We start from the raw sequence: 15,644 nt of genomic DNA, 5'->3' as shown, positions 1-15,644 counted from the left end.
TGAAATCCAGGAGAGATCTCTGGCTTCCCTACCTTTTCTCTCTAGTAGGTCCCCAAGTCCTACTGATTCACCACTCTATGAGAAGGGCCACCTGCCTTTTAATGCTGTGACTCCACTTTCCTGCACCATTATCTCAGCCCCAGTCTCTGTGCAGGAACACATGCCAGCATGAAAAATCAATTGGCTTTTGTCAGGCCATAAATACCACCAAAAGAAAATCTAAAGGTGTTGTTAAGACAGAAAAAAACAAAATCATTTTCCTTCTCTCCTGGAAATAGCTTAAATTTTTTTTCTGGTCTTAAAAGAAATCATTCCTCTCAAGAATCACTTTCTCCTGTCATAGCTTAGCCACCCTGTGCCTTTCACTTATGGACTCAGTTTGTTCTGTATCCTGCCTTCCCGCCACCATCATCTCTTGTGTAGACGATGTGTTTGTTTTTTAATTGGTCTTCCTAAATCTGGACTTGACCCAAGCCTAAGTTCTCTCTCCCCTAGCTGCCAGAAACACCTTTCTAGGACACAGCTCTTCTCATGAGACATCTGTCTTCAAAAACCTCTGGCTCTCTCTTCTTCCAGCAGGATAGAAAAACTCCACATTCTGTCCTAAACCACTCTTCCAAACAACATGTCTATTACGTCTAGCAGCACACCTCCTACTAACCTATCGTTAGTCATACTGAGTGCCCAGCATGCCTTGCACTTCCCAGTATCTGTCCCTGATTGTGTTCCCTCAGCAAGGAGGAACCTTCACTCTTTCCGGTGAAAAATCTGCCTGTCCTTCAAGGCCCAACTCATGGGCCCTGCAAAGTCCCTCCATGGGGACAGGAGGAATTTTCCCTCTTATGTTCACTTTTCTTCCCCTCTCTTGTAGCACTTAACTTACTCAGCTATATGCTAAGTTCGGAAACTTATTTTAGCCAATTATCTTTGATTTAAATGGGTTCCCATTCATTCTCTGTCCCACCTCATGGCTACCTTGAGGCAATGCTGCAGAATTCCAAAGGCTTGAAAATCATATCTACTCTCTCTGTTTCTTGACTCTACCCCTAAGAACCAGGACTGATTCTCACTCACCTTTCTACCCCAGAGTGCCTACCAAAAAGAAAGAAATATATATGAGCTTAACAAATGTTACTTAAATTGAATTTTTATCCTATTGTTGAAAAAAATAGCTAATAATGTTTATTTTTAAATCAGCTGATAAGGTCTTAAAAGGAAAAAGCACACTCTAGGACAAACTTTGCAATCTACAGAACAAACAGTCTTATGGACTCAGTTTGGCATTGAAGGGCATTGTGTGGCTATGACAGGAAAAAGAGTGATTCTTCTAGTGGCGATTTCTTTTAAGACCAAGATGAAAAAAATTAAGCTATTTCCAAAAGAAAAGGAAAGGGAATATTTTTTTCTGTCTTAAAAACGTCTTTGGATTTTCTTTTGGTGATATTTATTGTCTGACAAAAGCCAATTGATTTTTCATGCTGGAATGTGCTCCCACACAGACAGGGCTGAGATGATGGCAAAGACTTCCCTTCCCAAACCACGCTGGGCTGAGTCTGGAGATCCCTGGCTTCCAGCTGTTTGTGAGGTCAATTACACCCCTCTGCATGGGGAGGAGACAAGGTTCCTTTGGCTCATCATCCTTTGGCTCAATGTTGGAAATTCACCAACATTGATTATCTCATTTGTAGATTATCTCATTTGTATAATACAGCCATTTAGAATCATAGTCATTCAAGGGGGGAAAACAAAGATGTGCATATAGATGTTCATTTCATTGTTACTTACGAGTGAGAAATTGAAAATAGCCCAACTATTCAACAGTGGGGATTGATAAATTAATTTATGGATACATTTATTTATCTGTTAAAATTTTTTTTACTCATTCAGAATGATATTCATGAATAGTATCTAAATATCAGAAACATGTTTTGTAGTATATTAAATGTGAGTAGAGCAGCCTGCAAAATTATATCTCAACTAAATAAAACTACAAACTAAAAAGGATTGAATGATTTTTTTTTTTTTTGAGACAGAGTCTCACTCTGTCACCAGGGTAGAGTGCAGTGGCGTGATCTTGGCTCACTGCAACCTCCACATCCTGGGTTCAAGCGATTCTCCTGCCTCAGCCTCCCAAGTAGCTGGGACTAAAGGTGTGCACCACCATGCCCAGCTAATTTTTGTACTTCTAGTAGAAACGGGGTTTCACAATGTTGGCCAGGATGGTCTTGATCTCCTGACCTCATGATCTGCTCACTGCGGTCTCCCAAAGTGCTGGGATTGCAAGCGTGAGCCACGGCACCCAGCCAGGTTGAATGATTTTAACAATGGCTTCTATGATGTTGGGTTGTGGGTTTGAAAGAAAAATGGTTTCTTCTGCATAGTGTGATTAATTATATTTTTCTTTTTTACTATGTCTTTAATGTTCCCCATCTTTGCTACCTAACATGTATTATCTTACAATCATTTTTTTAAAGAAACACTTTAAATTTTGTGGGTGTGGAACTGGCACCAAGCTCCAGGTGTGGTCTGAGCAGTGGTGTCAGTCTAGGAGGAATTTCTTTATCTTGACATTCCATGTTATAACTTCAGGCTAAGTTTGTTTATTCTTCCTTGAAATAGAGCCTGGGTTTGGGCCAGCTTTGCCAGCCCAGCTAGTGCCCAGCATCTTAGCCTGAAGTTGATTGGTACTGAGATCAAAAGCCCTTCAGGCTTGATTCAAGAAAGACTCATTAACTGGAAGGAAGTTCTAAGCAGATGTGATACACTTAAGAAAGTAAGCCACATTGCAGACAGAGCTGGACCCAGCACCTAGAATGCTTGTAAAATGGATTTCTGAAAGGGGTAGTGTTCAGGAGTGCTTCTACACAGAGCACCCTAGTCCCTCTCAGACTGAGATTGCAGGAGTGGGAGGAGGAAGGAATGGGAGACAACAGGGGATGAGTCATTGAGATGTTTTCAGATATCCTCATCCCCATGGCTGTACCTACGATGCTGGATAGAATGACAGAAGTACTCAGAAGAAGGCTTGTATAACCTCTCTAAGTTTAAGGTTTGCAGTAGGATTTTGTCTTCTTGGCTAAGTTAACAGATACATCTAGAGATGGTATTCCTGGTGTTGTATTAGTAAAACCAGCCCTAGAGGGTTCCCAGTATTGGTGAGAGCTGTGAAAAGAGCTAAGTGTGCAATAGCCATAGCACATATATTGTATGGAAAGAATGCAAAGGAAAAATTACATAGAGGAAGAACTTTATTTAAGGGAGCATCATATGAATAGAAGCTCTCCAGGTGAGCAGAATAGAGTCTGCTTGGAAAAGATATTAAATATAATGAAATTCATGAACAGAAAATGTAATAAATGGAACTTTATTGTTTTCAAGACATTAAGGCTGTATTCTTGGGTTCCCAAGACTTGAAGGAAACACAGGGCGACATGTTAAATTGCATTATCTCAGGCACTTCCTAAATATTACTTGAATAAATGCACCAACTCCTCACTTCCCACTGGGATTTTTTTGTGTGTGAAATATGTTTTCTCAGTGTATGTTCAGAATAGCTGAGAGGTCCAACACAATAGACTCTCACAAAACATAAGCAAGAGCACTTATTCAAGGTTCAGTGTATGTGATTGTTTCAAAGATTTGCTTCGTCGTTCTCATGCTTTTCATTGTGTGGAGAGAATTGTAGGCAATGCATTTTGGAAACCATGTTCTAAATTTAGCTTGAGATGACTTGGTGGGGGTAGGGATACATTTTTCCATTGTATATACATGGATTGGTTATTGCCCTTCAGGGCCAATTTTTATTTTTAATATCAAATTAACTCTTTTCTGCAATTAGTAGCTTCAAGTTGCAGGCAAGTACTGGACAATAAAATAAAATTATATTTTTTTCTAAATTTAATTTCTCCACAAATTATGTTATAGAGCTTATTCTTGATGAAGATTGAGAATAGCCTGTCAAATATCATTTGCTTAGGGGTCATGGTTCACATTTCAAAGCTTCCTTTGATTGGAAGTATTCATAGATAGAGAACAGTTTGAAGCGATCTGGCTCTTACATGCTGTTGCTATTGAAAGATGGGTTTAAGAACAGCAATCCTGTTTTTGTGATGGCAGTGCTGGTTCACTAAGACTAGGCACACACTTAGTTGGTTTGTTTAGAGAGGTTATGTGTTGTTGCTGATATTCATTGTGTGACTGGTTTCTGATAAAGCCAACTTACTACCAAGATCCAAAGTTAAAACAACTGGGTTTAAACAGGACTCACCCTAGAATTTCATATGGTGACTCATTGGGCCTATGGGTACCCTCCCCCTGTGGTTCCATATCTGGCTCTGTACAGACCTCTTGGATCCCCCTTTAAGCTTCTCTGCTTTGTCCACCCCCTTCAGAACATGACCTCCCTGGAATTGACTGCCTTCATCTCTAGTTTCTTCTTCTTCTTCCTTGCTTGCCAGGGTAAGCTGAGTCTGCTTGTGTTCTTGACCTTGTTGGTTTCTGTCTTGCTCATCAGACCCTATATTCTTCCCCGCATCCCTGATGCACTCTTTTCTGATGTAGTGTAATCCCTGTTGTCACAGGAGACCGGAATGCATAGGTTATCTGTGAGCCTTTTCATTTGATAAAATACCTGTGAATGTGTGAGAAGAAAAAGCAGAAAAAGTAAGGGCATGAAATGTCTAACCATTTGAAAAAACATGGTGAGCCGTGGGTTTAATCTCTACACACTGCAATGAAATTTGTCCTCTAATGAGAATATCAGAAACTAGTTTTTTTCTCAAAAGGTAGAATTATTTGCATGTGAAATGGGTGTGTTTTGGAATTGGAAGAGGTTTACTTATTCATTAGATCTGAAAACCAAGGAGGATGTGATGAAGCTTTCCTTTTCCGATGGTGAAGAAGCTGTTTCTCATTTTGCACCATCTAAAGGATATCCTACCATTGGCCCAGTCGCTTTTTGTCACCATATTGCCAGTGGATGCGCTTGGCAAGACTCAGCTGAGAATTTTGGCATTTTCATTTTTCCTTCTGGCTTGATTTTTCATCAGCCTGCAATTCTGGAGTTCATTTCCATGGTATATTTGGAAAATTCAAATTGGCAAGTGATAAACACAGAATTTCACCAACTATCCCTTTGAAGGCTTTCAGCATGATCAGAGATGCATCATGTTGGCCCTTGTTCTTCAGGCCCATGCTCTTCTGGGTCAGCCCATTCACTTATTAGGTCTGTGATGCCCCAAGAACTTCCAGACCTTGACTCTCCAGTCCTGTGAATGCAAATCATGGTCACTTCTCCAAGCCTGGTGCTCTGGAAGAGGCAGGAAGAAATGCATGGGTTGGGGATCTGTTTATAGATGGGTATGCATTTTGTGGATCCTGGTGTTATTTCTTACTGTTCGTAGGTATCACTTACATGTTAGGCATTTTGTGGGTAATAAAAAATAGCAAAGCCCAGGGAAATAAAATTCATATTAATGACTCATATTTTATAACTCAGCCTTAGGATGCTTGGGAATAATCCCACCTGCTCCAGCTGCTTGCTTGGGGAGCTGTGAGGCCACAGTGGGGCGTGCTGCTCAGGGTGCTCCACAGATGGACACCTGAGTTTGAATCCTGAGTGTCCCACTTTACTAGATGGCAACTGGAGACATGTTATCTGAATGTCTTGAGCCTTCGTTTCTCCATTTGGAAATGGGGCCTTTTATAGCATAGGCCCATGGTAAGCACTGCATCTGCATTTTTTGTTACTCTCCTAAGCTTCCACAGATGTCCAGGCTTATCACAGAGAGCTCAGCATCCTGGGATCAAAAGATAAAGTGACAGTGTGACAGGGTTTGCACATTCTGCTCAGGATCATCTCTCCATGAAAATGAGGAAAAGAGATGCAGGTGCCTACGTATGGGAATGTTTCCATGGAATATTATTGATATCTCCCTTTGAGGATAAAAAGAGCTGTAAAAAGGTCTTCTGACTATGTTCAGTTCAGGTTTTGCATATGTTTTGGTCTTAAAAATGCACCATGTAAAATGATTAGAGATAACTGTATACTGGTCAGCCCAAATACTAGAGAAATATCTCTCCAAAGTCTCTTGAATGAAATAAAGTAGTTTCACTGAGCCAGTAGTGGCTACACCTCTGACCCATTGGGGAAGAGTCCCCACTTCTGATCTCACATCCTTGGGAGATATGGTCTGATTCAGTCTGCACTGGGCCTGTTGCTGTTATGGAAACGATATCAGTGTGTTTTATGTGTGTGGGCTCATGCATGTGCACGTGTGTGTATGAGGGCATTCCATAAGAGGGCTGAGATGTAGGTGGAGAAGAGCCTACTGCATATACACCCTAACTGTTTGGAATTTTCATGAGGCTAAGTACCCTGATGACCTCCCTCATAAGAATGAATTAATCAAACAAAACTGGTTGCAGCGTAGCCATGTCGTAAACTGTAGAGACCATTACCATCACCTTCATTGCCAGCAAAGAACATGAATCCTAATGAAATGGATACTCAGTGGAAGCATCCAGTTTGGGACCAGGAGCTGGAAAATGAAAGGAATGGGTATAAGTGCCACCTCTCTTAGTGCCCGGTAAATGGAATCCCTTCATCTGCCTTTTAAAGGCTCAATATAAATGGTGCTCATTTCAGTTAAGACCTATAGGTGAACTAAGGAGAATTTGGACAGCCAGTTTAGAAATTATTCTATAATAGTCACCATATTTTTTATTCAAAAATACATGTATACCGCCTAACATTCTTTTTTGATTTGTGGATTTATTTAAAAAGTATTACAAAGGTATAAGAATTACATCAGATTTAGTAATAATACATTTAATAAATCATGCTTATGGAAAGGAATAAAATTTCATGAGATTGAATCTGCCCCAAGACAATATGGGATAAATGGTACTGACAGTGCCTGCTCCAAGCAGAACAAAGAGTACAGGTTGAACGTGTGAGCGAAATAGAAAGGGATTTCTTATGACCTTTATTCAGATGCCCAGCAGTGATTCCCACCCCACCCCCTGAATTTTCTGAGTATTTGATACTGTGATTCCCTTCTCCTTTTGTGGACAGCACATAGTAAATCTGAATGTGTTCAGAAGCTGGATGATAGGCTACCTATCATCCATGTGGAGCCTGTGGAGTACAAGTCCATTAGGTGTATGCAGAACAACTTCATGCCAGTTCTTGGGAACTTGACAAGCAGTCATCCAAATATGATGCTAACAAAATCTAGGTTTCCCTCTTTTTGAGGCTCACCAGCAGCTCTGTAAGCTTTATGTACTTTTTTCATCACAGTCTAGAAGGCGAAAAAATCGCCAGAAAGTCCAGGTTAACTAAATAGAGCACCCAGTCTGGGATCTCCATAACAAAACCGCTGGACAAGATCCCATGCAAAAATTCTTTGGAAGTTTCCTCGAAGATGCTATAGCTATTTTTTTCTTGAAGTGGACCCTCTGAAAATATCGATCAAGTCACTTATTTTCTAGAACTAAAACCATGACTAGCTAGGTGGACGAAAGAGCTTATTTGCTAGCTTTCAAATAGATGAAGGGGAGAAGGATTGAAGGCTAATATAAAATTATCTGTTTACCTTGCAATTTTGTCTTAAAAATGAGTTTTTCAGGATAAAAATTACCTTAAAAAACTTATGACGTTTCACATAGTGTCAACAATAATAATACATAGTCTTCCTACCTTATTGCTGATGGTTCTAATAACATCTGTATTACCCTAGTGAATGTGTTCTTTGTGAACTTGCATGCTCTCTCTTCATAAACCTCCCTAGTAGGATAACTACCAAGCACCAGACTGTGCTGTCTACCCACCCTCCACTTTAACTTTGGATTATATGATACAACCAGGATTTGCAGTCATTCAAAAGAAAGATGATCTTACTCTCATATAGATGGTCTTTTGTAATGGCTTGAAATAGTGAGACCCTCTGTCCCATTCTCCAAAAACTGCCTTTTTCCATTTTATATGTGGGAGATTAATTTTGAGGTAGTCTTCTCCTCCTTTACAAAAACATCTCTTAGCAGTGGTTCCTAAACTGTGGTGTGCGTAAGAATTCCTGGAGTGCTTGGGAAAATATTCGTGATTCTGCCCCCTGAAATTCTGATTGGGGAGAGATGCACTTGGACCCCAGGAATCTGCATTTAATGAGAATTTCTAATGTAGGTGATCCTTGTGGATCACACTTAAAGAATCTAGAGCTTGAATCCCTTGATTCAAATCCTGGCTCTGCTACTTTTTTGTTGTTGTTGTTATTTCAGTCAAGTTGCTTAACCTCCTTATGCCTCAATTTCCTCATTTGTGTAAATAGTGTAATAACATCTCACAGAGCTTTTGGGAGAATTAAATTGGTTAATCTAGACAAAGTGCTTAGAATGCACTGGATTATGAACTGCTAGGTTAATTCCTGAATTATTAATTGCTGAATTAATTCTTAATTGCTGGATTAATTCCTGGATTATTAATTGCTCAATAAATGTTAGCTAGATCAACCCAACAAATCACAGATGTCTTGAAATAGATTGTTTCAATCAGGTTTGTATTCTGTTAATCTGTCATTCATATCAGCTGAGGAATATATATCTTGGGTTATGTTGGTGTGTTAGGATGGGCAAGGAGTCATTTAACTGGAGCACTGCAATGCATTGTCATTGCTTGTAGGATAAGAACCAGACTCCTTAACTTGGTCTCTAAGCATCTGCTGGTCTGGTCTTACACCATCCTCCCAGTCATTCTCACTGTGATCCATTCACATTTGGCTTCTTTCAGATTTTCAAAGATGCCATGTTGCCTCCTAGCACACATGTGTTTTGTTTGGGTCACTCTTCCCCTCACTCTCAATTTATTAACTTTTACTCTTCCTTTAGATCATGGCTTGATGTCACTTTCTCTGAAATGCTTTTCCTGATCTCACTAAGTGATTATTTGTGCTAAGAGAACACAGAGTTCATAGCTCTGTTTTTATACTCCATATCACAGTTATGCTTAATATTTTTGCCTCCTCTATTAGAGTCTGCAGGTTGTAAGGCAGAAACCTTGTCAGTTTGTTGTATCACTAGCACAAGTGCCTGGCATAGATACTTGCTAAATATTTGTTGAGAAAATTATTAAATTTTGATTGAGGAAGACTTGGATGGAATGATGGTTTTGGCATAAACTGAGGATTTGGACAGCCTTCAAGAGGATGGGAAGGCAAAGGGTGGGTGTCCCCATGGCAGAGGAGACTAGGCAGGACAGTTAAGAGGAGATGTTCCAGAAAGATGGTAGAGAAAACCTGAGCCATCCACCACCCTGAGGGTGAATGTTGTCTGGGCAGAGCTGAGAAAGATTGACAGTGTTGGCTTTGGGTGCTGTACCTGGGTGAGACTTTCTTCCTACACTTAGTGGCATAAAGAGACAAAATGGAAAGCCAGGATTCATATTCTTGAAGGTACAAATCCAACATCAAGACCAATGGGCGGCCAGGCGTCGTGGCTCCCGCCTGTAATCCCAGCACTTTGGGAGGCCAAGGTGGATGGATCACCTGAGGTCAGGAGTTTGAGACCAGCCTGTCCAACATGGTGAAACCCCATCTTTAATAAATATACAAAAATTAGCCAGGCATGATGGCACATGCCTGTAATCTCAGCTACTCAGGAGGCTGAGGCAGGAGAATCGCTTGAACCTGGGAGGAAGAGGTTGCAGTGAGCCGAGATCACACCATTGCACTCCAGCAAGACTGTCAAAACAAAACAAAACACCAGTGGGCTATAGCTGAGCATTTGGAGTTGGATGGATATGGGGTTTATACTGAGCTTCATTTAGGAAGAAAGGAGGCTGAGGGCGACTGTTGCTGTTTAGACAGTGGATGTGTTGTAGATGGATAGTTCAGCTTGGCTTCAAGAATCAGAAACACACAAAGAGCAGGTCCCAGTCTCCTCAGAAGCCTCATCTGGGTCATTACGGGCTGAGGGTCCCAGGCTTGCAGAGACCTTTAAGGAAGAGAAGGTTCTCCTTGAGGTTGTTATGATGCCAAGGCAGATGACGATAGGGCAGAGAGTAATTCTTTTCTCTCTAACATAAGCCCAAATCGGTGCCTTCTGTGACACTTACCATTTTCCATCAATCTCTGTGGAACTGAGGGCTTCCGCAGACCCCTGAGTGAGATTGCCACCTTATGAGCCCCCTCGAGTCTGACCAGGATGTGCAGCCATTCACTGCTCAGTGGCGACCCCTGCTGCTAAGGAGAGAGATGGCAGCACATTCAGAGTTGGTGACATTAATTCTAGTCATGCAACCCGGGGAATTTGGAGCAAGCAGGGGAGGAGTCTGAGGGGATGAAAATGGGCTGAGGAAATCCAGGGAGATCCCTAGTGTTCAGGGCGCCTTGATGAGGTGCTAATGCAGAAAAGAGCTGGGCCTGAACACTCCGTACTTACAAAATCTTCCACAAGCCGCCAGTGTAATCGCTTCATTCCAAAGGTTGGCTAGGAACCACCGCAGTGCCCTCTGAGGAATACCATTGCAAACTTTAACTTTTATTTGCGGAGCTCTCAGGGCTGTTAGGCAACAAATATTTTTAAAGATACCCCTCTAATTCTCTAGGTTAAAAGTTGCAGTAATTTTAATTAGGGGTAGAGGCTGTTTATGTTTGTTTACATCCTGGGTAGGAATTAGAGTATAAATCCTCCCAGTGGGACCCCTGCTGGGATGCTCTGGAATGCTTGCATTCCTGAGTATGTGAGCACCCCTGGTGTGCATGCCTTGTGTGTACATGGCAAGGTATCGCGAGGTGGTTCTATGACATTTCTGGACAAAAACTGTGTGTGAAGAGAAGGTAGGAGAAAGCAAACTCACAATCAAATAAAAGTAGAGAGAGGGGAAGAGATGAGATTGCAGTTGATTATGGGTCTGGCAGCAGATGTTCTGCACGAATCCAACTCGCTGCAGCCAGTCTGTTTCTATGGCAACAGAATCGGTAATTATTGAGCCCAGGCACTCCCCCACTTCTCCCAACAAGGTGGAGGCTGATGAATATGAACTATCTCCAGCCCATCACCAGCTTTTTCTTTTTCTTCTTGTCCTTATTTGTTTTTTAGTTCTTTATAAGAAAAAGTGGGGGATATATTGAGAAGTACCAAGACGGGGAGCTATGGGTTTATTGACAAAAGAGCATAGGACACTAAAATAGAAACGAAGTTATTATTTTTCTCTTGTGATACTCTAAGAGAAAAGCTCTTCCTGGAAAAGCCGATGATCTCTGAAGATGCTAAATAAATGAGCAGGAGTTTCCCTGAAATGGAGGCGCCCTTTGATTGGCTGATCTTTCCCCGACTCCTGCCAATCGGAGCATCCCTGGGCTCCAGCTCCATAAACATAAGCAAAGCTACATGCTTATTCTTCTGGACTTGGAGTGTATACCATTTAAAGGTGTGCGGCGGGTCTCTGTTCACATGGCTCAACTGGAAACCTGTTTCATGAACAAGCTTACTCAGGAACCATCTGGTGGTATTCCAGCACATTGTTCTTCAGGGGGACGACTCTAAGTCGCTTTGTGGTGGCAGCAGCTTAGAATCAGTATTTGTGGTTGGGAAAGATGGACTTACGGGAGCTTGGTGAGTAAACCTCCGTCTCACACATGTGTCCACCGGTATTATCAGCCTGAGCTAAATGTAGCTTTGTCCTATTGTCTGCCGAGAAAACTGAATTGGAACAAGCACATGGAGGAGCGGGCATTCAAGGGTTCCCATGATGTAGGAGACTCTGAATTCAAAAGACTGCATGCTTTGCTTGGGTCTGATCCGATTTGTAGCTGACTGTACATTATACTTGGACATTGGTTGTCTTGTTAGGATTAGTGTAAGGAGCAGAGTTCTGCTTTATTTCCCTGGGTGTTGATGCATTTCAAGAGAAAATGCTTTTAAAGCTACATTAATAATAAGAGTCAACCCTGTGTATTGCTAGGAAGAGAGAAAAAGGTGCAGGCACGGAGCCCGGAGCCGCTTGATTGTGTTGCTGGTGTTTGCATTGTGAAGAGAGATGTTATTACAATGGTCTGTCAAACACTTCTTCAGACCCCCAGCCACGGAATGAAGCATCTCTTCTCCGTGTGCCACTGTTCTCTGCTTGGAAAATGTGTAACTGAGCTAGGTCATGTCCTTTCCTTTTATGAAACCTGTCTCCAAATTGAAATATGTTTTTTAATTAATTGCAAAGATAAAGTGAAGTGCAATTGGAAAGATTTTAGCAGTCAAAAAGCATGCTTCAAAATGACTCTATTTTGCATCCTTTCAAACCCCTGAAAAACCAGAGAGGGTTTGCAAAGTTATATTCAAGGATTGGCTCTCTGCCAGGAAAGGGATGCTCTGAGCTATTGCTCTGCTCCCTGGGGTTTAATTTTCTGACACTGGTGATGAAATTTTCAATTTCGTTGGGTAGAAACAGGAAGAACAAGAAAGCAGTACTATAAACAGGCAATGGAGGGGCAGCGTGGGGAACGAGAAACTCTTTGCCTGTAGGGACCCTTCTAGCTGCAAACTTAAAAATGTATGTGGCAAGATGCAACCCAAGCACCGAGCAGGATTCCAGACGAGTTATAATCATTCTGAACGGGGAGAGGAAAGGTAATGCCATTGGCTTGGGTTGCAGAGAGTGGGGGCTGAAGTTGGGGCTTCTATCTCTGCCTAAGATCTTTTCCCCTGATTGTCTCCTGATTTTGAGGATTCATCATGTTACTTTTTTTAAAATGTGATTTCCTGTCTTATGTGCCTGAAAGTGTCATAGCACACTTGATGTCTTCTATTTACAGTCCACTTGACTTCAAATAATGGAGAGAGGAAAAGAGAATGAAGCATCTGGTTTATGAAGAAATGCACATGAAATAGTCAAACAAGAGAAATCTTATTGGTTGTCCTTTTTAAAAAATGTCCTTTTGCACAGGAGAATGCTGTGGGTCTTCACGTGGCTCTAGAATAGAATTTACTTTATCCTAAATGGGACCTGTGATGAATGGTTACAGAAACAGAAGAGCTAGAAAGCTTTCGCCTATAGAAGACTCAAGGCAGGGTGAGGGCGACTGGGTGTCTGGGAGAGACCTTCTACTCTGTCTATTAAAGAAGTAGGGCTGACGTTGCAGGAGAGGGAGAATTTCCTAACTGCGGGTGACAATGCATCAGGGACACCTGGTCACTTGACAAGGTCAGTGACCTGTTTGTTAGCTGAATGCCTTTCTGGAGATGTAGGCTGCTCTCTGATCCCATGAGGCTCCAGATGGCTGGATACATTGAGAATTCTGCCTGACTGGAAGAGCTTGTGTGCATGTTAACTCTGCCTGCTGCACCACACTCCTCAGTACACCTCGATGCTCGATTTTGAGGAAGTCTGGTTTCTAGAGGATGTGCATTAAGTGACAGTCAGCTCGTTAGAGTCAATGTCCATTTCGCCTTGGCCTCTTCTCTCCCCCACTAGTGTCACTTTACATGAGCGAAGTGCTGGCACCTGTTGGTAAGAATGAGAGAAGAAACCAGCTTTTTATGGAAGCAGTAAAAAATGTTTACAAAAAAAAAAAAAAAATCTAAAACAGTAGTTCTTAAGCTATTATTGGATCATGGAACTCTTTAAGAATGTGAAAGCTATGAACCTCCTCTCTGCTCCCCCCACCTAAAAACGCATTCATGCACAAACACATAACACTTTGATAATCAGGCATTTTAGGGTAAAGCAAGATCCCTGTCCTGGGGGAATAGCCAAGAACGTATCATACCCTGAAGTTCATTGTCTCCTTCTTTTCAGATGGGTCCGCTAAATGCTGCAGCCCCATCTCAATCTGTCCTGAGCATTTACTGTGTGCCAGGCACTGCTCAATACATTTTATATGTAGATATAATAATTCATTGAATCTTCCAGCAGCCCTAATGGGACTAAGTTTTTTTGCCTGTTTTAGATGAGGAAATTTAGTCGCCAAAATATTAAGGACCTTGCCGGTGTTTATCCAGCTAGGAACTGACAAGTGTTTGGTGTTTCATGCATGTCGATGTACTTGTTGCTGCATTCATATGTGGAAGGAGAGTGAGTATATAGGGGAAGATGGTTTCATCAGCCTGTCAGTCTGTCAAGTGGAGTCAGACCACAGGTAGTTGAATTAAACAATCACCACAATAATTAAAGTCAAATTGAAAAGGCATTTTGGGGTGGTTGGGTGAATTATTAATAACGCCATTTGGGAAGTTTGAGCTAAGTAAAAAGCCCATCACAAAATGCCCCATTGGTTGCCCCTTTATGTTACTGTGTGATGCACCATCTCATTCCTGTAGCATTTATTTGCCTGGTATGATTTGGGTCAATTTACCTAGGAGACCAGTTCCTTCTGGGCCATCTGGGAGAGGTGACAGGTCACCAGTGTCCCATGGCTGCCCTTTGCTTACATTTGCCAGGAATGATTTGCAGTGGCCAAAGCAATGGCGAGGGTGATGAACAACTAGGAACAACCAGGCAGCCAGTTTGGGGGTTCCCATGAACTGCAATGGCTGTAGGAATCACCAGGACTACCATGCTTTCTCAAGACCTTGTGAGCAGGGGAGGCGGGCCCAGCTCAGAAATAGAAACTGTGTTCGTCAGAGTTTGAGGGAGGATTGATGGCTGCTAGGGCAATGTGGAGCTGGATGGGTGTGTGAATCCTCCACTCCTGGTTCAGCCACTGCATCTCCCCTTCTATCTGTTTTATAAATGGATTCACAATGAAGATGTAACAATAAAAAAGAGAAAGAAGGGGTTAGGCTGCTAGAAGGAAGAATAAAAGCTATTCATCTTATCTAGATGTCTTATCTGACATAAAAAAATAAGCAAGATTGCAATGCTAAGTGGAAAGGAATCTGTAGGGGTCATGGTAACAGGTTTTTAAACATGGGTTCTTGGCTATGCTTGCCTAGTATTATGCACTTTCTAGTATTATACGAGGTATGTAAATGTGTAGAAGACATTTTAACAAGACTACAAAAAATGTACTACAGGGACAATATAGCAGATCTCATTTTACATTGATGCTGTCCAATGGAAATATGATGCAAGTTAAGTATGTGATTTTAATTTTTCTAGTAGTTCACCTGAAAAAAGTAAAAAGAAACAGGCCAGTTAATTTTAATGATATGTATTATTTTACCTGCTATGTCTAAGTTATTATTTCAACATGTATCTACAAAACTATTAACAAAATATTTACATTGAATTTTTCATGTTAAGTCTTTGAAATATGACATGTGTTTTACATTTACAACACAACTCAATTTGGATACTGGATTTTCACAGGAAATCTGTATTTAGATCTCATAAAATTCATAGTTAAAAAAGTAGATTCATGTGCACAAGTTGTTCCAAACATACATCAAAGTTTTCCAATAAATAACTGAATTGAGTATTGGTTTTTAAATTTAAATGAGCTAAAATTAAATAAAATTTACAATTCAGCTGCACAGTCACACTCACCACACTCACTCACCAAGGCTTCCCTAGCCACCGTGTTTAGTGGCTACTCTACTGGATGGTGTGGCACTAGGATCTCAGAACATTCCTTGCACACTAGGCCAGTAACTTCTCTCACTCCATCATCATACCACAGCACCTTTATCTCTTTTACCTCCACAAGGTACCTGGA

The 15,644-nt window shown here is 41.4% G+C and overlaps 1 protein-coding gene across 15 annotated transcripts in view, besides 1 other annotated feature; it reads left to right on the top strand.

The window, feature by feature from the left end:
* Nucleotides 1-15,644, top strand: part of ELMO1 (engulfment and cell motility 1) — a 596,421-nt gene that overhangs the window by 451,794 nt on the left and 128,983 nt on the right. For 2 of the 15 annotated variants that reach the window (NR_038120.2, NM_130442.4), the window contains exon 1: nucleotides 11,400-11,610. The exons of 12 other annotated variants lie outside the window; for them this stretch is intronic. The gene's annotated coding sequence lies outside the window, so the exon portion shown is untranslated. Of the gene's footprint in view, nucleotides 1-11,399; nucleotides 11,611-12,454; nucleotides 12,619-15,644 lie in introns of those variants that run through there. One more of the 15 variants, NM_001039459.3, reaches the window with a different exon arrangement.
* Nucleotides 10,595-10,889: a silencer, noted in NCBI's record as "tiled region #8653; K562 Repressive non-DNase unmatched - State 22:ReprW". NCBI's record gives its function as "represses a minimal TATA promoter and a strong SV40 promoter by Sharpr-MPRA in K562 cells {active_cell/tissue: K562}" and the evidence as "EXISTENCE:reporter gene assay evidence [ECO:0000049][PMID:27701403]".

The sequence above is a fragment of the Homo sapiens genome, chromosome 7 (assembly GCF_000001405.40).
Source record: "Homo sapiens chromosome 7, GRCh38.p14 Primary Assembly".
Classification (NCBI taxonomy): domain Eukaryota; kingdom Metazoa; phylum Chordata; class Mammalia; order Primates; family Hominidae; genus Homo; species Homo sapiens.
The sequence above is the reverse complement of the archived record's forward strand: the minus strand, read 5'-3'. Positions and strand labels throughout refer to the sequence as shown.